The sequence below is a fragment of the Homo sapiens genome, chromosome 2 (genome assembly GCF_000001405.40).
Source record: "Homo sapiens chromosome 2, GRCh38.p14 Primary Assembly".
Lineage (NCBI taxonomy): Eukaryota > Metazoa > Chordata > Mammalia > Primates > Hominidae > Homo > Homo sapiens.
The window spans coordinates 61,387,969-61,415,843 of record NC_000002.12 but is presented as its reverse complement, the minus strand read 5'-3'; the positions used below and the strand labels follow the sequence as shown (position 1 = coordinate 61,415,843).

Here is a 27,875-nt window from a genome sequence, read left to right as displayed (position 1 = left end):
CAGCATATAATTCTACTTAGATAATTTTGTCAGGCTGGAAATAACGGTAAAACTGAGAAGAAAATAAGAGAAGCTCAGATGGTGGGAGGATATGTATGATATTGGTGTACCAACATAAGTAATACAGAGTTTAAAAAAATTAATTGGCAGGGAAATGCCTATAATAAAGTCCCTGTGTCCCCTGTCTCCTCACCCTCCTTTCTGTTGTCAGCTTTTTGAGATGTTGGTTTTGATATTAACCTCTATACAGTATTCTGAAACACTCTTCTTATATTGCTGTTGCTTCATCTATCAATTTTAGGTGTAACCTATGAACTTCCAGTTATGATATATAAGGATTTCATTCTTTTACCCTCCCCAGTTCTCTCAGTATAGTTACATCAATTCTTAGGGTAGTTCTAAAAATAAAAATGTTGCTCAGCAATGAGCCAAAAAAGTTCTCTAGTTCATTTTATATCTTGCATGTTCTCTCTTTCTTGGTGTACTGTCTTTTCATTCAGTTAATTTTCTATGTGTGGATCACTTAATTCTCTCAAACGCTCATAAACTATGCATCATTAGGTGATCTTTTATCCCCCCACCCCTGGTCATAACCCTAGAGTATTGATTACTTTCTAGAGTTACTACCTTCTCTTCAGATCTCATCCTTATAATTCATTTTGCTTGTCTCTGAGGCAGGAGAACCTTAGGGTCTGGAGGCAGGGAACCTAAGGCCAATTCACGCTGACTTCCTAGAATTAAAAGGAAAACCCTAAGATTCCACGCCCTGAGTAACAAAAGGACCGGAGGCTACCCCGCTTTGCAACCTCCCCACACATTTTTGTGTGGCAGGTGAAAAATTGAAATTACCTCTAATTGGTCCCCTCCTGCAACTAATCATGCCGGTGGCAGTCCAAGTCTTCATCTGCATAGGAGTATAACTTTGTAACTTCAGCCTCTGACTGGTCCCACTTTCCATAACCAATCAGATGTTTGCATAGGGTGTAACTTTGTAACTTCAGACTGATCATGGGCCACTACTTCATTTAGGTAGGGTGTATACCAAGTAACCAATAGGAAACCTCTAGAGGGTATTTAAACCCCAGAAAATTCTGTAACTGGGTCCTTGACTCCCTTGCTCTGACTGTTCCCACCCTGTGGAATATACTTTCATTTTCAGTAAATCTCTGCTTTTGTTGTTTTATTCTTTCCTCGCTTTGTTTGTGCTTTTGTCCTATTCTTTGTTCAAAGCGCCAAGAACCTGGGCGCCTCCACTGGTAACATCTCCTATCTTGGATCTCCAAGTTTCCTGGATTCCATTTTGTCATCTTTTTAGCTCACTTCCTTGTTGTAGAGGACATCTTTTCTGAGAGAGGATACAAGGGGAGATAAATGTGTATTAGACCTTCCAGGCCTGAAATGTCTATCCTACCCTTATACTTATTGATAGATCTTATTGGATACAGAATTGGAAAATTGCTTGCAGAATTTCAGAAGTATTGATCAGTTGTATTCTAGGTTCCAGTATTGCTTTGGAGAAGCAGTAGCCCTTGTTATTTTTGTGCTTTTCCTTCATACTCTTTTTTTTTTTAAAGTTATTTATTTATTTATTTTATAGAGATGGAGTCTCCCTCTGTAGCCCAGGCTGGAGTGCAGTGGCATGATCTCGGCATCCTCTGCCTCCTGGGTCCAAGCAGTTCTCCTGCCTCAGCCTCCCGAGTAGCTGGGACTACAGGTGCACGCTGCCCGGCTAATTTCTTTTGTATTTTAGTAGAGACAGGGTTTCCCCATGTTGCCCAGGCTGGTCTCGAGCTCCTGAGCTCAGGCAGTCCACCCGCCTTGGCCTCCCAAAGTGCTAGGATTACAGGTGTGAGCCACTCACTCGGCCTCTTTTGTTTTTTTATTTTTAATTTTTTTAATTTTTTTAATTTTTTTGAGACTGAGTCTCACTGTATCGCCAGGATGGAGTGCAATGGCGCGATCTTGGCTCACTGCAGCCTCCGCCTTCCAGGTTCAGGCAATTCTCCTGCCTCAGCCTCCTGAGTATCTAGTAGAGACGGGGTTTCCCCATGTTGCCCAGGCTGGGCTCGAGCTCCTGAGCTCAGGCAATCCACCCGCCTTGGCCTCCCAAAGTGCTAGGATTACAGGCGTGAGCCACTCACTCGGCCTCTTTTGTTTTTTTATTTTTTATTTTTTTAATTTTTTTGAGACTGAGTCTCACTGTATTGCCAGGATGGAGTGCAATGGCGTGATCGTGGCTCACTGCAGCCTCTGCCTTCCAGGTTCAGGCAATTCTCCTGCCTCAGCCTCCTGAGTATCTAGTAGAGACGGGGTTTCCCCATGTTGCCCAGGCTGGTCTCGAGCTCCTGAGCTCAGGCAGTCCACCCGCCTTGGCCTCCCAAAGTGCTAGGATTACAGGCGTGAGCCACTCACTCGGCCTCTTTTGTTTTTTTATTTTTTTATTTTAATTTTTTTGAGACTGAGTCTCACTGTATTGCCAGGATGGAGTGCAATGGCGCGATCTTGGCTCACTGCAGCCTCCGCCTTCCAGGTTCAGGCAATTCTGCCTCAGCCTCCTGAGTATCTGGAGCTACAGGCACATGCCACCACACCCAGCTAATTTTTGTATTTTTAGTAGAGTCAGGGTTTCACCGTGTTGGCCAGGATGGTCTCAATCTCCTGACCTCCTGATCTGCCCGCCTCAGCCTTCCAAAGTGCTGGGATTACAGGCATGAGCCACCGCGCCCGGCCTCCTTGATACTCTTAATTACTCTCCCTGAAAGCTTTTAGAATCTTTATCCCTCCTCAGCTTCAGAAATTTTGTCTGTTTTGGTGGGCCTTTTGGTTGTGAAAATTTTATTTCATAATTTCCTTACCTCCATATTTATTGCTCTCACTTCTTGGAACTATGTTAGTCAGATATTGTACCCTTCTTGATTACTTCCTTTTCATATTCTCTCTTTTTTTTTTTTTTTTTTGAGATGGGATTGCTGTGTTGCTAAGGTTGGAGTGCAGTGGCGTTATGATGGCTCACTGCGGCCTCGACTTCCTGGGCTCAAGTGATTCTCCCACCTCTGCCTCCCAAGTAGCTGGGACCACAGGCATGTGCCACTATGCTCAGCTAATATATTTTTTTATTGTAGAAAGGAGGTCTCGCGATGTTGCCCAGGTTGGTCTTGAACTCCTGGGTTCAAGCAGTCATCCCACCTTAGCCTACTAAAGTGCTGGGATTACAGGTGTGAGCCACTGCACCAGGCCTTTTCTCTCCATTATTAATATTTTTTTCTATTTTGTGGGAGATTTCATTTTTCCCTTTTGTGGACCTTTTGTTGAATTTTACAAATTGCTATAATTTTAATTGGTTTTTAAACTGTAAATGATATATATACAAAAGGTATATGATATGTATTTGCATACATTACAGTGCTCTGAATTTTGTTATTGTTATTTTGGCTCCCTGGCCAAAAAATGCCCTGTTGTGTAATCTGAATTTATATTTTCATAACATTTCATTCTTATTTCAGTAACGTAATATTTTATATCTCTCAGGATATAAATTACAGCTAAAATCTTTTTTTCCTTTTTGTATTTTGTCTGTTTCCTCTAAATTTCTTTTTTCTTTTCTTTTCTTTCTGTTTCTTTCTTTTCTTCCTTTTCTTTTTTTTTTTTTTTTTTGAGATGGAGTTTCGCTCTTGTTGCCCAGGCTGGAGTGCAGTGGCATGATCTCGGCTCACTGCAGCCTCTGCCTCCTGGGTTCAAGTGGTTCTCCTGCCTCAGCCTCCCAAGTATCTGGGATTATAGGCATGTGCCACCAGGCCCAACTGATTTTGTATTTTTAGTGGAGACGGGGTTTCTCCATGTTGGTCAGGCTGATCTCAAACTTCTGACCTCAGGTGATCCACCCGCCTCAGCCTCCCAAAGTGCTGGGATTTACAGGCATGAGCCACCACGCCCGCCCTTACTGTTTGTTTTTATCTGCCTTCAATGATCCAAAGGCAGATAAAATTTTTCTCGCATATCTTATTATTGTTATCCTTTCATGGTAATAAGAGGGGTACTAAAAAGTGAATTTGAAGGCCTCTGTGGTCAGGGCATCTCAGATGTTGGCCACTACTGTATGATGGTTAAATGGTGAGTAGGCTTTCTTGTTGGGGCTAAACGGGCTTTTTCTATTCCAAACCCCACCACAAATACACTAAACTAAGAACACTCTAGAAGGACAGAAATCATGGGACAAAAGATGACAGCTATCAGCATAGTTTGGATGACAGAAAAGGGACAAATAGTAACTCGGAGTGAAAGAAATAAACTTGGTAAGAGCTATAAAAAGACATTTAAAAGAAGTATATTTCAATCTTTCGCTTTGAGATATGTTAGTCTGGTGGTTGGGTTACCAGATAGGAAGGGTACTTGAGGAGGTTTACCATTTAAGTCATATATTTCACTTATCTTGCTTTCAGTTTTTTTTTCTTTTTTTTTTTTTTGAGACAGGATCTTGATCTGTCACCTGGGCTGGAGTACAGTGGCATAGTCTAGCTCACTGCAACCTTGACCTCCTAGAGTCAAGCAATCCTCTTATCTTTGCCTCCTGTGTAGCTGGGATTACGGGCGTATGGCACCTTGCCTGCCTAACTTTGTTTTTTTTTGAGACGAGGTCTCACTATGTTGCCTAGACCAGTCTTGAATTCCTGGGCTTAAGCGATCCTCCTGCCTCTGCCCCCCAAAGTGCTGGGATTACAGGCATGAGTTGCTTTCATTTTCTTGATCACACTTGCCTTCTTTGGTATCTGGTGTTCCTGAGTTTATCTTGTTCATTATGTATAGAAAAAACTTGTTTTCATGGGTGATACAGGAATAATATTTTGTTTTTTTTAGGATGGGAACCTGCAGGTTTTAATTGTACCTTTCATTAGTCGTCTTATTTTCTGCCTCAGGCTTCATCCCTGCCTTTAGAGATATCTTATGTTCTTAAGTCCTGAGCCTTTCCAGTGTTCTGTGGGGTTGATTTTTCTTTTTCTTTGTAAATCCATTTCATAGCTAGTTGGAAGTTTATTTCCTTCACTCTGAATTACTTACTATTTTTCCCTTTTCTGTCACTCAAAATATGTTGATAGCTGTCATCTTCTGTTTCATTATTTCTGTTTTTCTAGAGTGTTCTTTAGTATATTTGTAGTAGGATTTCGAATAGAGAACAAGTAAAGTTTATGTGTAAAATCAAGCTGGTTTTGGTGAAGCTTGTAGCTAAAAAAAATTCAAGCTGGTTTTGACTGAAAGTGATATTTTTATTTAAAACACCTTTTCCGCCTTGCATTATGGATGCAATGTACAGCAAGGGTCCCCAGCCCCTGGGCCACAGACTGGTACCCAATTAGGAACCAGGCCACACAGCAGGAGCTGAAGGGCAGATGAGTGAGTGAAGTTTCATCTGTATTTACAGCCATTCCCCATTGCTCACATTACCACCTGAACTCCACCTCCTGTCAGATCAGTGGCAGCATCAGATTCTCACAGGAGCATGAATCATGTTGTGAACTGTGCATGTGAGGGATCTAGGTTGCACACTTTTCATGAGAATATAATGCTTGATGATCTATCGCTGTCTCCTATCACCCCCAGATGGTACCGTCTAGTTGTAGGAAAACAAGCTCAGGGCTCCCACTAATTCTACATTATGGTGAGTTGTAGAATTATTTCATTATATATTACAGTGTGATACTATAACGTGCACAATAGATGTAATGTGTTTGAATCATCCCAAAGTCCTCTGGGTCCTTGGAGAAATTGTCTTCCACAAAACAGGTCCCTGTTGCCAAAAAGGTTGGGAACCATTGATACACAGAGGGAAACGCCGTATTGAGAATTCATATACCTAGACTTCTCAGAATTGAATGTAATAGAATAAAAAGTATTATTTATGTAATATACAATTATTTAAAAAATACATATATTTGTGTACGTGTGTGTTCCCCTGTTAGACTCACAGCCCTTTTTGAACTTGTGTATTTTGGATCTGGAAGGACCCAGACCCAGTTTCTTCTGTTACTTTGTTCACATAATTTTTGTCTTTGAAGATCATCAGTTTCTTAGGTCCATTATCAAGCAGTTTAATGCTCATTTTCTAACACTTATTTTATTTATTTATTTACTTTTTGAGATGGAGTCTTGATCTGTCGCCCAGGCTGGAGTGCAGTGGCGCAGTCTTGGCTCACTGCAACCTCTGCTTCCTGGGTTCAAACAATTCTCCTGTCTCTGCCTCCTGAGTAGCTGGAATTACAGGCACCCGCCACCATGGCTGGCTAATTTTTGTATTTTTAGTAGAGATGGGGTTTCACGATGTTGGCCAGGCTGGTCTCGAACTCCTGACCTCAAGTGATCCACCTGCCTTGGCCTCCCAAAGTGCTGGGGTTACAGACATGAGCCACCGTGTCCGGCCCTAACACTTATTTTAAAAGTAAGTTTGGCTGAATCTTTGGCTTTCTTCATCCAAATCTGACTTCAAGTTCGTTTTCTGGGTTTTCAGATTCCATTTTTAGTAAATGATCTGCCTGCCTCAGCCTCCCAAAGTGCTGGGATTACAGGCGTGAGCCACCACACCCGGCCTGACCTCTTACTTTGAACCTGATTTTTCTAAGTTTTTTATGTTTTTTGAGACAGTCTCCCTCTATCACCGAGGCTAGAGTGCAGTGGTGCAATCTTGGCTGACTGCACCTTCCACCTCCCGAGTTCAAGCAATTCTTGTGCCTCAGCCTCCTGAGTAGGTGGGATTACAGGTGTGTGCCACCATGCCCAGCTAATTTTTGTATTTTTAATAGAGACGAGGTTTTGCTGTATTGGTCAGGCTGGTCTTGAACTCCTGGCCTCTAGTCATCTGCCCACTTTGGCCTCCCAAAGTGGTGGGATTACAGGCTGAGACAGCGCACCCCCCGACACTCAAGTTTATGACCTCACTTTGTTTTTGTTTGTTTTTTTGAGAGGGAGTGTCTCACTCTGTCTCCCAGGCTGGAGTGCAGGGGGCGTGATCTCGGCTCACTGCAACCTCCGCCTCCCAAGTTCAAGTGACTCTCCTGCCTCAGCCTCCTCAGTATCTGGGATTACAGGTAGACCACCAAGCCCGTCTAATTTTTTATTTTTAGTAGAGAAGAGGTTTCACCATGTTGGCCAGGCTGGTGTCAAACCCCTGACCTTAAGTGATCTGCTTGCCTCAGCCTCCCAAAGTGCTGTGATGACAGGTGTGAGCCACCACACCCAGCCTGACCTCTTACTTTAAACCTGATTTTTCCTAAACATCAAAGGAAAAAGCTGTTAATCAGAAGAATTGTAGGAGAAATGTGTTTATTTTTCTTCTTGTGGGAGTTGTGATACTATAGAATTGTAAAGCTGGAGGAGGCCTTGGAGGTAAAAATTAAAACCCTTTCATTTTGCCACAGATAAAAAAGATGTGATGCATTATTTATATATATTTATAATTATATATTTCTGTGTGACAAAAATACTCCAAAAGTAGTACTATATCTTAAAACAGCAGTAAACATTTATTATCCTCAAAGTTTCAATGGGACAGGAATTTGGGAGTCCTTTAGCTGTTTGGTTCTGGGTCGGGTTTCCTATAATGTTTTAGTCAAGGTGTTGGCCAGGTCATAGTCATGTAAAAAGCTCATGTGGGGCTGGAGGATATACTTCCAAGTTGGCTTGCTTTAGATAGTGACCAAGTTAGTGCTGGTTGTTTATTTTATTTATTTTTTATTTTTTTGTGACAGAATCTTGCTTTGTCACCCAGGCTGCAGTGCAGTGGCATGATCTCGGCTCACTGCAATCTTTGTTTCCCCGGTTCAAGTGATTCTCCTGCCTTAGCATCCCAAGTAGCTGGGATTACAGGTGCCCACCACCACGCCTGGCTAATTTTTGTATTTTTAGTAGAGATGGGGTTTCACCATGTTGACCAGGCTGATCTCGAAATCCTGAATTCAGGTGATCCATGCACCTCGGCCTCCCAAAGTGCTGGGATTACAGGCATGAGCCACCACACCCAGCCTCAGTGCTGGTTGTTAATGAGAGGTCTTGGTACTTTCTCATGTGGTCTCCTCTTTAGGCTGCTTGAGTGTTTTTCAGTGATAGGTGGCTTCCTCTAGAGTAAGTGATCCAAAAAAGAGCAAGGCAGAAGTGACAATGTCTTTTATGACCTAGTCTCAGATGTCACACATTGTCACTTCCACCACTTTCTATTCACTAGAAGTGAGTTCCGTCTACACAGAAGAATATCAAGTAATTTGTGGCTGTACTTCAAATTCACACTTGGAGAAATAAGATTATTTCCACATGATCATACAGGGCATTGGTGATCTATTTGGACTACAATATAGTTGTTTTGATCTGATGCTATTACTGGGTGCAGATTATAAATTATAGTTGCTTAGCTGTCATCTGGTACAAGTATTATTAGAACCAGGTACTTGCGTATGTATTAATTGCCTATTGATTCACCAGACCGTTCCCTGCCTTTTTTTGAGACATGGTTTTGCTCTGTCACTCAGGCATGATCAGGGTTCACTGCTGTCTCAGCCTCCTGGGCTCAAGCCTCTCGAATAGCTGGGACTACAGGCACAAGCCACGATGCCTAGCTGATTCTTTAATTTTTATGTTTTTGTAGAGATGGGCCTCATTATGTTGCCCTGGGTTGTCTTGAGCTCCTGGACTTAAGCGATCCTCCCACCTTGGTCTCCCAAAGTGTTGGGATTACAGGTGTGAACCACTGCACCTGGCTGAGATCCTTTTAATTATCTACATATGCCAGGCATTGTGCTACTAACTGAACATGTCTAAGGAGAACTGGATTTGTTTGTAATACTTTTTTTTTGAGACTGCGTTTTGGTCTTGTTGCCCAGGCTGGAGTGCAGTGGTGTAATCTTGGCTCACTACAGCCTCCGCCTCCCGGGTTCAAGTGATTCTCCTACCTCAGCCTCCCAAGTAGCTGGGATTACAGGTGCCCACCACCATACCCAGCTATTTTTTTTTTTGCATTTTTAGTAGAGACAGGGTTTCACCATGTTGGTCAGGCTGGTTTCGAACTCCTGACCTCAAATGATCCACCTGCCTCAGCCTCCCAACGTGCTGGGATTACAGGCGTGAGCCACTGCGCCTGGCCAATATTTTTTTTTTTTTTTTAAATACACATATATTTTTTTTTACAGGAGCTTGGGGGGGAGAGAGAGAGAGAAAGAGAGAGTGTGTGTGTGTTGTTCCTAAACACTTTTGATTTGCCAGATAGCGTCAGAGCACCCCTCCCAAGTAGCCTTCAAGGACATTAATCTAAAAATGTGGCTGTTTTATTAGTTGACAACAAAATTCCTTATATTAAATAACCAGCTGGCTTTACTAATAAGATATTTTGTTATAAGTTTCCTAATAACTTGCTAAACATATATTGAGTACTTGACACTGGAGAAACAAAATGTCACAATTCTTGTTTTTAAATAGTTCCATGTGTAGAAGGACAGACAAATCCATACGTAAAACTGAAGATAATAGCTGTAAACCTAACATGATGACTTTACACTAACTAAAATATCAGTTGTTGTTGCGATGCTATCTTTATGTTATTAAGGTGTACCCCAGCAGGAAGGAAAAAATAAAAACAAGTCTAGAAATAACTTAGTATTTGCTTACTTGTTTTTTTATATTATTAAAAAATACAGCTGCTGCTTTATTACTAATTTATTCAATTTTTTTTCTCTTATAGGCAATGTCTATGCTGCTTCAAGGAATATAAGCATTTGGAGATTTTTAATCAAGTAGTGTGTGCACTTATTAACTTAGTGATTGCCCAAGTTCAAGTGCTCCGGGACCAGCTTTGTAAACATTGTACTACCATTAACATAGATTCCACGTGGCAAGATGAGAGTAATCAAGCAGAAGAACCACTGAATATAGATAGAGAGTGTAATGAAGGAAGTACAGAAAGACAAAAATCAATAGAAAAAAAATCAAACTCTACAAGAATTTGTAATCTGACTGAGGAGGAATCTTCAAAGAGTTCTGATCCTTTTAGTTTATGGAGTACAGATGAGAAGGAAAAACTCTTACTATGTGTGGCAAAAATTTTTCAAATTCAGTTTCCCTTATATACTGCTTACAAGCATAATACTCACCCTACTATTGAGGTATGTAAAATAGGTGGTGTGAATTTTAAGTAATACCAAGTCTTAACTTCGCAGTCTGTTTCTTACTGATAAATATGAAGACAGTTTTCTGCTGGCGGAAAATCATTATTGTCACCAGAATTATTTAATGTTTCTCCAGAGCATTTCTTCAGCAGTTTGTGCTGAAAATTTGCTCGGCATAGTTCATCCTATCAAGGAAAGATCTATACATTGAACTCAGAAATTAATCTGGTAGTGATCTAAACATTTTACTGCTATAGATCTATGCTTATTTTATGACTCTTAATAAATAATAGTTGAGGGAAAAGAAACACATGGAATTTTAAATTTCATTCTTAGAAACAGTCTACAGATCAGAATTTGCTTTTATCAAGAAAAAAAAGCTTAGCAAATTATCTGTGATTAGTAGTTTCAAATAATAGTATTTCCTTTTCTTTCTTTCTTTCTTTCTTTTTTTTTTTTTTTTTTTTTTTTTGAGATGGAGTCTCTCTCTGTTGCCCAGGCTGGAATGCAGTGGTGTGATCTCGGTTCACTGCAAGCTCCGCCTCCTGGGTTCATGCCATTCTCTTGCCTCAGCCTCCCAAGTAGTTGGGATTACAGGTGCCTGCCACCACACCTGGCTAAGTTTAAAAAGAATTTTCTTTAGTAGAGACGGGGTTTCACCGTGTTAGCCAGGATGGTCTCGATCTCCTGACCTCATGATCTGCCCACCTCGGCCTCCCAAAGTGCTGGGATTACAGACGTGAGCCACCACCCCTGGCTAAGTAATAGTATTTTCTTTTGTAAGTTAAGATGCTTGACTCTATTAGTGATGTTTTTGCAAGCATTTCTAAGTATGTAGTAACCTATCTTAGACTTAACTCAGATAATATGATTGATTTCTAGGCATAGTGGGAATTGAGACAATTATGTGGTAATATATTAATGACTTAACAGTGGTTTATTATTCCTCATGATTCTCACAGGCAGTTCCTTAGCTAGTTTTGTGTAGGCTGAGTTATGCAGGTGAATTTACTTTGAGAACTGGATGGGTAAGGTCTGGGTCGCACTTGTGTGTGTGGCAGTTGGTAGTGGCTGTTATCTGGGGCTCCTTGTATTTTCTCCACATGGCTTATTTTCCACTAGGGTAGATTGGCTTCCTTAAATAGTAGTCTTAGCAGTGCTCCAGGAAGGCAAAAGTAGGAGCTGTAAGACTTCTTATGATACAGCCTTTGAAATGTCACAGTATAATTCTGCCATATTCTATTGTGCTGCTTTCTGTTACTTGAAGCGGTTCACAAGGGCAGCCCAGATTCAAAGGGGTAGTGAAGTAGACTCCATTGCTGGGGGGAGGAGAGGTAAAATTTCATTTTATATCTTATACATTGTTTCCTGTGCATCCTGGAATATGAAGAATTATGGCCATTAGAGAATCTATGACATTTTTTTTGTTTGTTTTTTATCTGTCTCTTTTCTCTAGCTTATTTGTTCTGTAACCTTTATACCTCTCTTTCTTCATCTGGGAAATAATAGTCCTTTACTGGGATATTTTCATGTCGAATGGAGACTTATTTGAAAACATAGCTTGAGGGCAGATATTTTCCCTGTTAGAATTCTTCGTAAGAATATTTTAAATCAGGCACACAAGTCACCTACTTGGCCCTCTTCCAAGTTGTACTTTCTGTCCTTCTTTCCTTACTGTTCTAAAGCTTTTTTTTTTTTTTTTTTTTTTTTTTGAGATAGAGTCTTGATCTGTCGCCCAGGCTGGAGTGCAGTGGTGTGATCTCGGCTCACTGCAAGCTCCGCCTCCCGGGTTCACGTCATTCTCCTGCCTCAGCCTCCTGAGTAGCTGGGAGTACAGGTGCCCGCCACCATGCCCGGCTAATTTTTTTCTTTGTATTTTTTAGTAGAGATGGGGCTTCACCCTGTTAGCCAGGATGGTCTCGATCTCCTGGCCTTGTGATCCGCCCGCTTCTGCCTCCCAAAGTGCTGGGATTACAGGCGTGAGCCGCTGCGCCCAGCCTCTAAAGCTTTTTGATAAACTTTCACTCACTCCTGCTCTGGGTGGGGGAGAAAGAGTGTTTAAAAGCAGATTGTGCTCTGTTTTCTAAAAATCTTAGCCTGTGATCTTCCAGTATAGAAACTTAAATAATCTCTTACATGATATAAAATATATTAAATATTCTGAAAAAGTAATCTTTTTTCAACAAAAGAAAGTCCCATCAGGCAAACTTGAAATATTTAATCTACATAAACACCATCTACATAGTGCTTTAATATCTTAACTTGGTAACTGAAAGATGCTGAAAATAGTTTCGTTAGGGACTTAGATATGTGAAATTCACAGAAATTTTTTCCAATTAAAAATTTCTTAATGATATAGAACTATATAAGTAATACTGAGTCTGCTGCTTCTAAAATAAACTTGCTCATCAGTGTTTTTTCTTTCCTGTTTTCAAAAATGGTAATCTCTAAATGTAGGCATAGTTACACTCCTGTACTTTGTTTTAAAGTACTTTGTTATTATTATTCGTGAGTATTTTATGTTACTACTTGGTTGAAAGCAGTGGTTTTTTGAGGTCTTCGAGGAAAATTCTGACAAAAAATACCCATAGAGATAATAAAGGAGTTACCTCCTTATACCAAATTCTATTAATATATTAGATATGTGCCTCTTTAATTTTCTTTTCGTAATAGTTGTTTCCGAGGTTTCTATTATCTTAATAATGATCTGTTACAAGTGCTCTAAAATTTCTAGTTTCTATCCCAGTGGCCATTTAATTAAATGCGGTAAGGGTCAACTGTTTCAAATGGTCTTAGATCAAAGACTTGGTAGCATACATGTTATAAAATTATATATATGTATAAATTTTGTATGTATATACACACAATTATTTTAAAGCAAACAAATTATTATGAAATGTAATACAGCTTACTAGAGATTTTTATCCCACTTTTCTTTGAGGAAATTGTCCATCTAGTCTTTTCTTTGTGCTGCTGTGCTATCCTTTCTTAAGCCTTTGATTTTGATTTTTCGTTAATATTTTTTAAAGAGGCACAACTTAGCCAAAATTCTTAGGAGGACAAGATTCAAAACTCATGTGTTAGTATTTTGATAGCTGTGTCTTTAGAAACCTACTCAACACTTTTATTTTATAGAAGAAGCAACTGGCCTACAGAGGTTAAAAGATTTGATTGGGCATATTGCTGAGAAGAGTCCTAGAATCCGGGTCTTACTCTACTGCACTACTTCTAAATCATTTTGAACTAATTACTGTATTCTAAATAATATGGGAACTTGGAGCCACTCCTTCTGTCTCCCTTCCTTCTTCTCTTTCCTATTGTCCCCATCAAAGCTGATATTTTAAAAGGTTCGGTAATTGGACATAAGTAGTACTAATTCAGGATCAAAAGGGGGAATGGCCTAGTTTTAATTTTTTTCCCCTTAAGAGACAGGGTCTTGCTCTGTCTCCCAGGCTGGAGTGCGGTGGTGTGATCATTGGTCACCATAACCTTGAATTCCTGGGCTCAAACGATCCACCCACCTCAGCCTCCTGAGTAGCTTGGACACTAGGCATTCACTACAGTGCCTGGCTAAGTTTATTTTTATTTTATTATTACTTTTTTAAGAGATGGGGTTTATCTGTGTTTATGGGGTTTATCGAGACCAGCCTGGTCTCGAACTCATGGCCTCAGGTGATCCTCCTGCCTTGACCTCCAAAGTGCTGGGATTACAGGCATGAGCCATAGTGCCTTGCCATGCTAGTTGCATTTTTTATCCTGAATAATTATGTGTAATTCTGTGAAATCAGATAATTGCTCTAGTGTTGTAAGTTTTTTTCTAAGTATAGGGAAAAAGATTATAAAAATGGGCCGGGCGCGGTGGCTCATGCCTGTAATCCCAGCACTTTTGGAGGCTGAGGCAGGTGGATCACAAGGTCAGGATATCGAGACCATCCTGGCTAACACGGTAAAACGCTGTCTCTACTAAAAATACAAAAAAAAAAAAAAAATTAGCAGGGCGTGGTAGCGGGTGCCTGTAGTCCCAGCTACTCTGGAGGCTGAGGAAGGAGAATGGCATGAACCCAGGAGGCGGAGCTTGCAGTGAGCTGAGATCGTGCCACTGCACTCCACCCTAGGTGACAGAGTGAGACTCTGTCTCAAAAAAAAAAAAAAAAAAAAAAAAAATAGGGCCAGGTACAGTGGCTCACACCTGTAATCCCAGCATTTTTGGAAGCCAAGACAAGAGGACCACTTGAGGCCAGGAGTTTAAGTCTAGGCTGGGCAACATAGCAAGAGCTCATCTTTACAAAAGAAAAAAAAATTAACTGGGCGTAGTGGTGCACGCCTGTAGTCCCAGCTACTTGGGAGGCTGAGGCAGAAGGATCACTTGAGCCAGGAGGTCAAAGCTGCAGTGAGTTATGATCATGCCTCTGCATGACAGAGTGGGACCCTATCTTTAAAAAAGTAGAAAGGAGAGAAACCACTGCATTTATGTTAAATATACGTATGGTATAATCAGACAGATGAAATATATACATGAAGGTTTTATTTTTTAATTTTTTTTTTTTTTTTTTTTGAGACAGAGTCTTGCTTGGTCACCAGGCTAGAGTGCAATGGCGCGATCTCGGCTCACTGCAACCTCTGCCTCCTGGGTTCAGGCGATTCTCCTGCCTTAGCCTCCCAAGTAGCTGGGACTACAGGCGCGCACCCAAAATGCCCAGCTAATTTTTGTATTTTTAGTAGAGACAGGGTTTCACCATGTTGGCCAGGATGGTCTCAATCACTTGATCTTGTGACCTGCCTGTCTCGGCCTCCCAAAATGCTGGGATTACAGGCGTAAGCTACCGCACCTGGACTTATTTTTTAATTTTTGAATCAGGGTCTTCCTCTGTCACTCAGGCTGGAGTAGTACACTGGCACAATTATGATTCATTGTAGCCTTGAACTCCTGGACTCAAGTAACCCTTCACCTTCAGTGTCCTAAGTAGCTGGGAGTACAGGTGCATGCCACCATGCCTAGCTAGTTTTTCAATTTTTTTGAGGAGGCAGGGTCTTGCTCTGTTTCCTGGGCTGGCTTTGAGCTCCTGGCTTTGGGCAATCTTCCTGCCTCAGCCTCCCAAAGTACTGGGATTATAAGATGAGCTGCCACGCCCAGTCAATTTAGTATTTTTTAGAATAATACCAACGTTGTACAATTATCACTACTAATTCCAACATCACTGAGTTACTTTTAAGCAAAAATTTTGAGACATTGAGTTCTTCATGGTTTGATCATGGAGCAGCATTTTCTTAATTTACATAGAATTGCCTTTCCTCTGGCCGGGCGCGGTGGCTCACACCTGTAATCCCAGCACTTTGGGAGGCCGAGGCGGGTGGATCACAAGGTCAGGAGATCAAGACCATCTTGGCTAACACAGTGAAACCCTGTCTCTACTAAAAATAGAAAAAATTAGCCAAGCGTGGTGGCGGGTGCCTGTAGTCCCAGCTACTGGGGAGGCTGAGGCGGGAGAATGGCGTGAACCCGGGAGGCGGAGCTTGTAATGAGCCGGGATGGTGCCGCTGCACTCCAGCCTGGGCAACAGAATGCGACTCCATCTCCAAAAAAAAAAAAAAAATTGCCTTTCCTGTATAGTTACTCATTTATTTCTCTCTGTTTTCTCTTTTAAAATAACCAAATTTCTCTGCTATAAATAGGATGGGATCAACTCATGTAGTAAATGGGAGGTTTTTGAGGAAAAAAAATGCAAGACTTTAAAAATCATTGATAAGTTTATTAAAGCCTTTCTCAGCGATTACCTAAAATAAGAACTTTTGAAAAATACTGTTAATACAGCTTTTTTTTTTTTTTTTTGGGAGACAGTGTCTCGCACTGTTGCCGAGGCTGGAGTGCAGTGGTGTTATCTCGGCTCACTGCAACCTCTGCCTCTCAGGTTCAAGCGATTCACCGGCCTCAGCGTCCCGAGTAGTTGGGATTACAGGCGCCCGCCACCACGCCTGGCTAATTTTTTTGTGTTTTTAGTAGAGACGAGGTTTCACTGTGTTGGACAGGGTGATCTCCAACTCTTGGCCTCGTGATCCGTCTGCCTCAGCCTCCCAAAGTGCTGGGAATTACAGGCATGAGCCACCGCGCCCGGGACCGTTAATTCGTCTTTTAATGAGACTTCCTAGTGTTGTTCTTAGTGTTTTTTTTAACCTATAGATGTGTGTTAATTTTTTATATACTACTTAAAAAATGAGATTATAACATTTTAGGATGCTAGCTTTATGTATTCATATTGGAAATAGAGTGGCAAAACAGTTCCCCTGAATCACCAAAATAGATGTAATCAAATCTGAGTAACACTGCATACCAGGATAGAACTCAATTTTTTTTTTTTTTTTTGAGACGGAGTTTTGATCCTGTTGCCCAGGCTGGAGTGCGGTGGCATGATAACAGCTCACTGCAACCTTCGCCTTCCGGGATTCAAGCAATTCTCAGGAGGCTGAAACCTCCTGAGTAGCTGGGATTACAGGCATGCGTCACGACACCCAGCTAATTTTTGTAGTTTTAGTAGAGACCATGTTAGGCTGGTCTTGAACTCCTGACCTCGTGATCCACCTACCTAGGCCTCTCAAAGTGTTGGGATTACAGGCATGAGCCACTGCACCGGCCGTTAGGAGATTTTTTAGCTGTGCCCATGTTAGGCACTAGAAATCGTGGCTCTAAGATTCTAGCATGGTTCACCTGGTCCATGATTCTGTATTTAACAATACCACAGGAGGTCTTAAATTCTGGACTTTTTGAAGACCATGAAAAAGTTCGTTGAGATTAACATAAAGCTTCACCTCTGGCCCCGGTTGTCATAGCCAGGAGTGGATTTAGGAGGTTTAACACTTACTTTGAGACTTCATTTCTCTAAGGACATTTTTTGTTTATTTTGAAATGTTCTGAGTTCTGTATGATTGCTTTCAATCCATGATTTTCAGACTTTATTTCAGCAGTGTAACTTAAATATCTAAAATAGGTGATGGCAATGATGAATGGGTTTCTTTGGTAGCTTTTTTCAGATGAAAGTTTCTAGCTAGCTTTCTGATCATAAAAGCAGTTATTTTCTCTCTCCTCCCTCTTTCTCCTTCCCTTTTCTCCCTCCCCTTTCTCCCTCCCCCGACTTTCCCCTCTTCCCGCTTCCGCCTCCTTCCCCCGCTTCCGCCTCCTTCCCCGCTTCCGCCTCCTTCCCCTGCTTCCGCCTCCTTCCCCCGCTTCCGCCTCCTTCCCCCGCTTCTCCGTCCTTCCCCCACTTTCCCCTCCTCCTCCCTTACCCTTTCACCCCCCTTCTCTCCCTCTCTTTCTGTCCTCCCCCATCTCTCTCCTCCTTCTCTTTCACCAGGTCTCACTCTGTCACTCATGATCGAGTGCAGTGGCATGAACATGGCTCATTGCAGCCTAGACCTCCCAAGTTCATGCAATCCTCCCGCCTCAGCCTCCTGAGTATCTGGGACAACAGACACGCACCACCATGCCTGGCTAATTTTTAAAAATTTTTAATAGAGATTGGGTCTCGCCCGTGAGTACGAGGCTAGTCTTGAACTCCTGGGTTCAAGCAGTCAGCCTCCCACAGTGCTGGGATTATAGGTGTGAGCCACTGCACTCAACCTAAAAGCAATCTTTTTTTTTGGAGGCGGAGTCTCGCTCTGTTGCCCAAGCTAGAGTGCATTGGTACAATCTTGACTCACTGCAACCCCCCTCCCCCAAGCGGGTTCAAGTGATTCTTGTGCCTTAGTCTGCTGAGCAGCTGGGATTACAGGCGTGTGCCATCACCCCTGGTTAATTTCTTTTTTTTTTTCTTTGAGATGAAGTCTTGCTTTGTCACCCAGACTGGAGTTCAGTGGCACGATCTCAGCTCACTGCAGCCTCCGTCTCCTGGGTTCAGGCAGTTCTACTGCCTCAGCCTCCCGAGGAGCTGGGACTACAGGTGTGTGCCACCACGCCCAGCTAATTTGTGTATTTTTAATAGAGATGGGGTTTCACCATGTTGTCCAGGATGGTCTTGATCTCCTGACATCATGATCCGCCCACCTCGGCCTCTGAAAGTGCTGGGATTACAGGCGTGAGCCATTGCACACAGCCAGTTTTTGTATTTTTAGTAGAGACGCGGTTTCACCATGTTGGCCAGGCTGGTTTTGAACTCCTGACCTCAAGTGATTCGCCGGCCTTGGCCTCCCAAAGTGCTGGGATTCTAAGTGTGAGCCACCGGGCCTGGCCAAAAGCAGTCTTTTCAGCGTGAATTTTTTTTTTTTTTTTTTTAGATGGAGCCTCATTTTGTCTCCCAGGCTGGAGTGCAGTGGTGCAATCGTGACTCACTGCGACCTCCACCTCCTGGGTTCAAGCAGTTCTCCTGCATCAGCCTCCCAAGTAGCTGGGATTACAGGTGCCTACCATCACACCTGGCTAATTTTTGTATTTTTAGTAGAGACAGGGTTTCAGTATGTTGGCCAGACTGGTCTAGAACTCTTGACCTCAAATGATCTGCCCACCTTGGCCTCCCAAAGTGCTGGGATTACATATGTGAGCCACCATGCCCGGCCTCAGTGTGAAAAATTAAATACAGAATATACAAAATACAGACTTTGAAAGGCCTTTGAACTTCTCTTTTTTCTTCATTCTCTTCTCAAAAAAAGTTGAGATATTTCCAAACGTAAAAATTATGAACATCAGATCATGATCATAAATTTTCTTTCAGAAATGTAACAGGTGTTTTGTCTGTATGTAAGATTCTACCTTATTTTCAGACAGCATTTTAAAGATGTAACCTTAAAAATCACTTGATTAAAGTATACAGTTTATTTTCAGTAGATTTACAGAGTTGTGCAGCCATCATCACTTTCTAATTTTAGAGTATTTCCATCATCCCCCAAAGATCCCTCATGCCTTTTTCACCTTATTATTTTTAAGAGTTAGGACTGGGCGAGGTGGCTCATGCCTGTAATCCCAGCACTTTGGGAGGCCGAGGCGGGTGGATCATGAGGTCAGGAGATCGAGACCATCCTGGCTAACACGGTGAAACCCTGTCTCTACTAAAAATACAAAAAATTAGCCGGGCATGGTGGTGGGCGCCTGTAATCCCGGCTACTCTGGAGGCTGAGGCAGGAGAATGGCGTGAACCCAGGAGGCAGAGCTTGCAGTGATCCGAGATCATGCTCCTGCACTCCAGCCTGAGCGACAGTGCGAGACTCCGTCTAAAAAAAAAAAAAAAATTAGCTGGAATGGTTATGCCATTCATTTAGCCATCAAATTGATGGATGTCAGTTGTTTCTAATTGTGGGTTAATGAGCATCGTTATGCGTATATTTTCCAGTACTAGTATGATTAGTTCCTTAGAACAAAAAGCTAGAATTGCTGGGTCAAAGGCAATGTGTATTTTAAATATTGAAGGATATTGCCAAATAGCCTTCCAAAAAGTTCATACGAACTTATACTCACCAACAATGGATAACTGTGCTTTTAGGCAGTTGAAATCTTATGCAATGGAAGCACGTGTAACTCTTCAGTATACCTCTAGGGAATTCCAAAGCAGTTTCAAAAATCATGAAAAAGTTTGTTGAGAAACTTTTCAAAACAAAAACCACTTAACTATCATGTATTTTTATCAGAATTACCTTGAGTTTTATTTTAAACCTTTTTTTTTTTTTTTGAGACAGTTTTGCTCTGTCACCCAGGATGGAGTGTAATGGCGTGATTTCAGCTCACTGCAACCTCTGCCTCCCAGGTTCAAGCCATTCTCATGCCTCAGCCTCCTGAGTATTACAAGTGCCCACCACCACACTGACAATTTTTTTATTTTTCGTAGAGACAAGGTTTTACCATGTTGGTCAGGCTGATCTTGATCTCCTGACCTCAGGTGATCCACCCGCCTCGGCCTCCCAAAGTGCTGGGATTTTTTTTTTTTTTTTTTTTTTTTTTGAGACGGAGTCTCGTTCTGTCGCCCAGGCGGGAGTGCTGTGGCGCGATCTCCGCTCACTGCAAGCTCCGCCTTCCGGGTTCACGCCATTCTCCTGCCTCAGCCTCCCGAGTAGCTGGGACTACAGGCGCCCGCCACTGCGCCCGGCTAATTTTTTGTATTTTTAGTAGAGACGGGGTTTCACCGTGGTCTCGATCTCCTGACCTCGTGATCCGCCCGCCTCGGCCTCCCAAAGTGCTGGGATTACAGGCGTGAGCCACCGCGTCCGGCCGGGATTTTAAACATTGATTTTTTTAAGGCAAGATTACTTAATGTTTAATAAGGCAAAATAGTGTGTAGTATGTACTGTGGAATGGCTTCTACTTAAAGGAGGACTAAAATACACCTTAGAGCTGAATCCTATTAGCTTCAGTTAGGAGTATCACTGCTTATCAGGAGTAATTGCAAAATAATCTGTTTATTCGGTTTTTATAAAATCAGTCTTTTATAGAATTGTATTTTTTAAAGGTTAGTAGTTGTAACCTAATTTTACTTGCTTTTTTTTTTTTAATTAGGATATATCAACTCAAGAAAGTAACATATTAGGGGCATTCTGTGATATGAATGTAAGTGTTTACCTTTTTTATTCTTTTATGGAAAATTTTATTTTTTTAACAAAGCCTCATCCATATGTTTTATTATTTATATATGTCTTTTGAGTTTCTCATCAGTATCTTTCCAGTATTGCTAAGATAAAAATTATTTGTACGTTTTCAAATAATGACATGTTTTCTTTATTTTCCCAGGATGTAGAAGTACCATTGCATTTGCTTCGTTATGTATGTTTGTTTTGTGGGAAAAATGGCCTTTCTCTCATGAAGGATTGCTTTGAATATGGAACTCCTGAAACTTTGCCATTTCTTATAGCACATGCGTTTATTACAGTTGTGTCTAATGTAAGTATTGTTTTGAATTGATCTTAATTTTGGGAGCAATGTCTAGCATATCAGTAACATGAATTTTATGCTCTGAAAAGGAAGGTTTTGAATGATTTGCATGTGTAATTTTTTTTTATTTTGACAAAATGAGTACAGAAACGTTTTAACGATCTTTATTATTAAGATTAGAATTTGAATAAAATTAAGTTACCTGTTTTAAAGCTAAAAGGGGTCATGACTATCTATAATTATCTATTTTATCTAAGATAGGTGACTGCATAAAACTTTTGCTAATTTTCATTTTTTAACTTATTTTTTTTTTTTTTTTTTTTTTTTTGAGAGAGAGGGTCTCACTCCGTTGTTTAGGCTGTAGCTTCTACCTCCTGGGCTCAGGTGATCCTCCCACCTCACCCTCCTGAGTAGCTGGGACTAGAGGTGTGCACCACTGTGCCTGGCTGAATTTTTGTACTTTTTTTAGAGACAGAGTTTTACCATGTTGCCCAGGCCATTTTAAACTTGATCTTCCTGGGATTCTGTCCTGGGAAATTTTTGACTTTTTAGGTTATTGGTTACTTTAAATGATGCTTGCCTAGGTTACTATTATAGTATGCCTGAATTCTCTTACACATGAAGATTGTAACATTTCTTCTTGCCTTTGAAAATAAGGTAATTCTTCTGTATCCTGTGAGTATCAGTTTCACTGTGAAGCACAGTGGATATGGAAAGAAAGATACTTTTATTTATTTTTTTGACACGGAGTCTCACTTTGTTCCCCAGGCTGGAGTGCAGTGGTGCAGTCTCAGCTCACTGCACCCTCCGCCTCCTGGGTTCAAGCGATTCTTCTGCCTCAGCCTCCCAAGTAGCTGGGACTACAGGCACGAACCACCATGCCCGGCTAATTTCTGTATTTTGAGTACATGTTGGCCAGGCTGGTCTCAAACTCCTGACCTCATGATCCACCCACCTTGGCCTCCCAAAGTGCTGAGATTACAGGCGTGAGCGACTGTGCCCGGCCCGGAAAGAAAGATACTTTTAAATACCTGTATATTAAAATTCATTCTTTAATAACCTATTCTGGTCATAATTTAAAAAATTGGTAAAGCAAAAGTTCAGTGTACCTTTACCAAACACTGAAATCTTGTGTAATGGAATTACCTTAATTAATAGCTAATATCAGATATTTAAATTATCTATAAAATAAAAATATTGGGTGAAAAGTGACTCAACCAAATATTTTGTTGCATTGTTTCCAATGCTGTGTGCTTTGCAGTGATGCGGTACATTGGAAACAGCACTGACATTACTAAAATTGGTAATAAATGATTACTATCAAGGTCATTTTTAGTTAAAAAATTCCACCCATTCTGATAGGTTGAAATTATTACATATAGTAGTAGTGTAGCATGTAGGTTAATAATGTTGCCTTTTTTTTTTTTTTTTTAGACGGAGTCTGGCTCTGTTGCCCAGGCTGGAGTGCAGTGGCATGATCTTGGCTCACTGCAACCTCCGTCTCCCAGATTTAAGTGATTCTCCTGCCTCAGCCTCCCGAGTAGTTGGGACTACAGGCGTATGCCACCATGCCTGGTTAATTTTTGTATTTTTAATAGAGATTGGGTTTCACCATGTTGGCTAGGCTGGTCTCAAACTCCTAACCTCAGGTGATCCTCCTGCCTCAGCCTCCTAAAGTGCTGGGATTACAGGCGTGAGCCACTTTGCGTGATCTGAGCCTTAATTTTTTTAATTTGCAAAATGGGAATGATGATGATATCCATCTACTTTAGAGGATTGTTTTGAGGTTTAAAATGAGAAAGATTTTAAACTCATAATGTAACACTTGACATATAAAGTGTGTAGTAACTGGTGGCTTTTACTAACTTCGGTTGTTACTAAATACCTAAGTGATCCTGTTATTCTGATTGAACTTATTTGTTTGATAGAAAGTTTTATGTACTTTGGCATTCTCTGAGAGAAAGTATCTCAATTTAGTTAACTGGAATGCTGGGATAACATTTTTATTTCACACTGTGGTAATTTTGGAGAGGGCATATAATTTTGAAACACCAAATTATCAAAGGGTTTACTTAATCAGGAATATTACATAAACCTGGATTAAACTGTTTCTTGAATTTATTTGTACTAATTCTTGTTTAACAGTCTAGTATGGAAAGCTTGTTAAAGACTTTATTACTATATCTTTAAAAGTTATCGTTTACAGGGTTTTTTCTTCCTTACTTTATCCGTTTTTTTGAGACAGAGTCTCACTCCGTCACCCAGGCTAGAGTGCAGTGGCACCATCTTGGCTCACTGCAGCATCCACCTCCTGGGTTCAAGCAGTTGTCCTGCCTCAGCCTCCCTAGTAGCTGGGATAACTAGTGCACGCTACCACACCCAGCTAATTTTTGTATTTTTAGTAGACCCGGGGTTTCGCCATGTTGTCCAGGCTGGTCTCGAACTCCTGACCTCCTGTGATCCGCCCACCTCGGCCTCCCAAAGTGCTGGGATTACAGGCTTGCAGGCTTGAGCCACCGCACCCGGCCTTTGTTTTGTTTTTGTTTTTGAGAGAGAGTTCTGCTGTGCGGTAGTAGCAGCTGACTGCAGCCTTGATCTCCCAGGCTCAAGCAAACCTCCCTCCCATGTCAGCCTCCCAAGTACCTGGGACTAAAGGTGCATGTCACCACGCCTGGCTAAATTAAAAATTGTTTTTGTAGAGATGGGGTTACGCTGTTGCCCAACCTGTGAAGTTATCCTTTACTAAATACAAAGGTTTAGGCTTAGATTCTGTTTTATCTTTCTCTTCAGCCCTTTTATGACTGCTAATTGGTGGGCTGTTGTCAATCTGCATAGTTTTCTTTATCTTGCAACTCAACTGAGGCCGTTAAAGCAAAATTATACTATTTAAATTAATATATTTTTTGAACACCGTAATACTATAATACTATATAATCTGTTTGTTAATTTTCTGAGAATAATAACTCAATGGAGTAACTCTTTAATAGGCATCTTTTCCTTATAAAAAATATTGTAGATTGGCTCTCTGCAAGCTAATTTCTTTTATATGGTTAATATTTTAGTGTACATTAAGAGCTTAGAGTTCTTTTTGTAATCAAGCTTGCTACAGAAGCTGTGCTTTATTTATTTCATAGTAATTTCCTCTAGTGGGTCATTGTATAAACCCTGATCATTTTTGTATGTCTATTCCTTTTCTTGCGAAGTGGGCAGCTTGTTTAGCCATGGTGTTTTGGCTTCAATAGGGTGAGGTCTCTATTTGGGAATCTCTGAATTTCACAGGAATGAGTAGAACTATATTTAACAATGAAAAAAATAGTATTAGATTTTAGGGCAGCCGTTTGTAAAGAAAAGAAAATAACTCATAAATCACTTTTGTGGCAGGAAAGATACGGACTAACGTTACTGAATACTTCTTTTTCTCTATTATACTAAATCACACATTCAGAAGAGAACATGTTTATAGCATTTCCTGGGACTCAGGAAATGATCCCATTCTGTTTATTTTCTAGTATGATTTCCTCCTCACTTAAAGAAAAAGCTATATATTTATTTTGAGACTGGCTAATTTTTGTGTTTCTGGTAGAGGTAGTGTTTCACCATGTTCCCCAGGCTGGTCTTGAACTCCTGGGCTCAAATGATCCGCCCGCCTTGGCCTCCTAAAGTGCTGGGATTACAGGTGTGTGCCATTGCACCTGGCTGATTTCCTCACTCTTACTGAGGCAAGGTAACTTTGTCAGATGGTGAGTGTTATTTTTTCGTTTTTTTTTTGAGCTGGAGTCTCGCTCTGTCACCAGGCTGGAGTGCAGTGGTATGATCCCTGCTCACCTCAGCCTCCGCCTCCCAGATTCAAGCGATTCTCCTGCCTTAGCTTCCCGAGTAGCTGGGACTACAGGCACGCACCACCATGCCCAGCTAATTTTTGTATTTTTAGTAGAGATGGGGTTTCACCATGTTGGCCAGGATGGTCTCAATCTCTTGACCTTGCGATGCCCCCACCTCAGCCTCCCAGAGTGCTGGGATTACAGGTGTGAGCCACTGCGCCTGGCTGGTGAGTTTTTTTTTTCAGAACCTGAATCTAGAATCCTGAAATTTCATCTCAGGAAAACTCACTCTTCTCTGGATTTGAATTATCAACAAAGAAAGGAAATTCTTACCTTATCAGATTAAGGTTCAAATCTGATAATAACGTCAAGCCCATACATTTGTTTCAATCTCAAAAACTTTAGCAGATTCTTAACTAGAACTTCAGCAGTTCTTAACTAGCTCTGAGTTTTAGGAGATTTCTCAGTTTGCACAAATATTATTCCACCTATTATATGGATCCGTTCTTTAATAACAGCTGCACCCACAAGAAAACAACAAAGATCTTTATGTAGTTTTCTTACTTTGCAAATGCAGCTTTTTATGTAGTTTTCTTACTTTGCGAATGCAGCTTACTAACATTTAACACAGCTTAGAGAAATAGAACATGGAGGCATACAAGTTTCTCCACTGAGACCCAAATGGAAGTTAATCTCACTTTTGTTGAGTTACACTTGGTTTTAGCTTACAGTATCCTTCCTCAGCCCTCAGCTCTTTGCCAGAGTTTGTCATTTCATACATAACACCTTTTATTAATTTATAAAGAATCCAATAGAGACAAGGGGTTTATTTTATTATGGAGTAGAAAGAAGTGCAAATGAGGATTAATAAAAAGAACTTCACACAAAATATGCTTTAGTCAAAGGTATAAGCTTGTAGGGCTTAAGTAACGTATAGGGGAACACAATAGCAATTTCTGAATGTTCAGTGTCCTAAGACTGCTTTTTACAAATATACTAGCAAAGACTGTTTAATATCAGAAACTAGGGTAGGATTACATATTTTTTGATATCTCTTTACTAGATAGGAGAATAGGAAATTAAGTTTTCATGATGCCACTTTGCACTTTGTCAGAACTAGGTTTGATGCAGAACGCTGTTTTTCTGCAGTTACAGGGAGCAAGGAACTTTTTTTTTCTTTTTTTCCCTATTTCTGAGAGTTTTAACCTAGGTTAAAAGGTTAGGAGGGCTGCTAGAATTCCATTAGCACTAAGCAGGGGGTGGGGAGAAGGAAACCTGAAAAGCTCAAAACTTAAAAAAAAATGATAAAGGACACACTGTAGGATTAATAGCATATGCAATTTGGTTTTTATGATGTTGGGATCTATAGTAGTGTTAAAGAATGCTGATTTTTATAATGATATAATCCTAGGTTTGAATTGTACCTCTGTTGCATAGTATGTAATTTTGTTTTCATTACTTTTATAAGCATTACTTTTCTCATTTATCACAATGGGAATATTAAGGACTTAGTAAATGGTAGATCTTCCTTGTATTAAAATTTTTTCTTGTATTGACATTTTTCTTCATTTGCTGTTTTTTAATTGAAATTTTTAATCACTTGTGTCTGTGTATTCTAAAATAAAAGATATAACTATGCCCTCTGATGTATCTTGTATAAAATAGGATTTTTAACCTTCTGTTAAAATTTGAAAAATAACATTCATAAAGAAACGTACACAAAGTGATAACATGTGGCTCAGTGATTTATCAAAGCAAATATTCGTTTAACCATCACTCAAACCAAGAAACAGAACATTGTCAACTCCCCAGAAGCCTACCTTATGAGTCCTCAGGCCACTAACTATTCCATCTCTTCTCCTTTAAAAATAAACACAATTCATCCTTTAATGCTGATCATTCTCCTGCTTTTTTTAAACAAAGTTTTATCACCTAATCTTATATCCCTAAACACTACAATTTGGTTTTGTCTGTTTTCACCATGCAGATGGAATCACATACTATGCATTCTTTCATGCCTGGTTGTTTTTTTTAAATGCCGAAATTTATATTGCATGTATGTTCATTTTTATTGTTGAATTATCTTTTAAAATATACCAATTTATTTTACTGGTGATGGACATTTAGGTTATTACAGTTCATATGGGTGTCAGCATTCTTCTATGTGTGTTTTGGTGAACATGTGTGTGCATTTAATTTGGATGTATATCTAGAAGTAAATGTCTTATCAGGGTGTTTGTGTGTGTGTGTGTGTACATATATATATATATATATATTCTTTTTCTGAGATGGAGTCTTGCTCTGTCGCCCAGGCTGGAGTGCAGTGGCGTGATCTCAGCTCACTGCAAGCTCTGCCTCGCGGGTTCACACCATTCTCTTGCATCAGCCTCCTGAGTAGCTGGGGCTACAGGCGCCCACCACCATGCCTGGCTAATTTTTTGTATTTTTAGTAGAGGCAGGGTTTCACCGTGTTAGCTAGGATGGTCTCGATCTCCTGACCTCATGATCCGCCTGCATCGGCCTCCCAAAGTGCTGAAATTACAGGTGTGAGCCACCATGCCCAATCTTTTTTTTTTTTTTTTTTAAACTCCCCTGTACCCCCACATCCCCTCGAGTATGCATATTTTCAAACTTGGGTGTTAAACCTATGGTTTCCTTAGGTGGTTGTATTAATTTATACTTCTGTCAGGTCTGTGAGAGTTCCCCTAGTTGCATATCCTTGCCAAGTGTTGACTTGGTTTTTTATAGATTTCTAATGGATTTATAGTAGTAGCTCATTGTGATTTTATTATTTTTTGAGACAGTGTCTTACTCTTGTCACCCAGGCCAGAGCGCATTGGGGTGATCTCAATTCGTTGCAACCTCCACTTCCTGGGCTCAGGCGATCTTCCCACCTCAGCCTCTTGCATAGCTGGTGTGTGCCACCATGCCCCGCTAAGCAGATGTGGGGTTTTGCCATATTGTCCTGGCTGATCTCAAACTCCTGAGCTCAAGCATCCTCCATCCTTGGCCTTCCAAAGTCCTGGGATTACAGGCATGAGCCACTCCACCTGGCCTTTTTTTTATATTTAT

The 27,875-nt window shown here is 40.8% G+C and overlaps 1 protein-coding gene across 1 annotated transcript in view; it reads left to right on the top strand.

Annotated features, from left to right (window-relative positions):
• Window positions 1-27,875, top strand: part of USP34 (ubiquitin specific peptidase 34) — a 283,625-nt gene that overhangs the window by 55,244 nt on the left and 200,506 nt on the right. Inside the window, exons 3-5 of the mRNA NM_014709.4 lie at window positions 9,716-10,136; window positions 20,611-20,661; window positions 20,842-20,991. Coding sequence (NP_055524.3) covers window positions 9,716-10,136; window positions 20,611-20,661; window positions 20,842-20,991 — 622 coding nt within the window. The remainder of the gene's footprint in view (window positions 1-9,715; window positions 10,137-20,610; window positions 20,662-20,841; window positions 20,992-27,875) is intronic.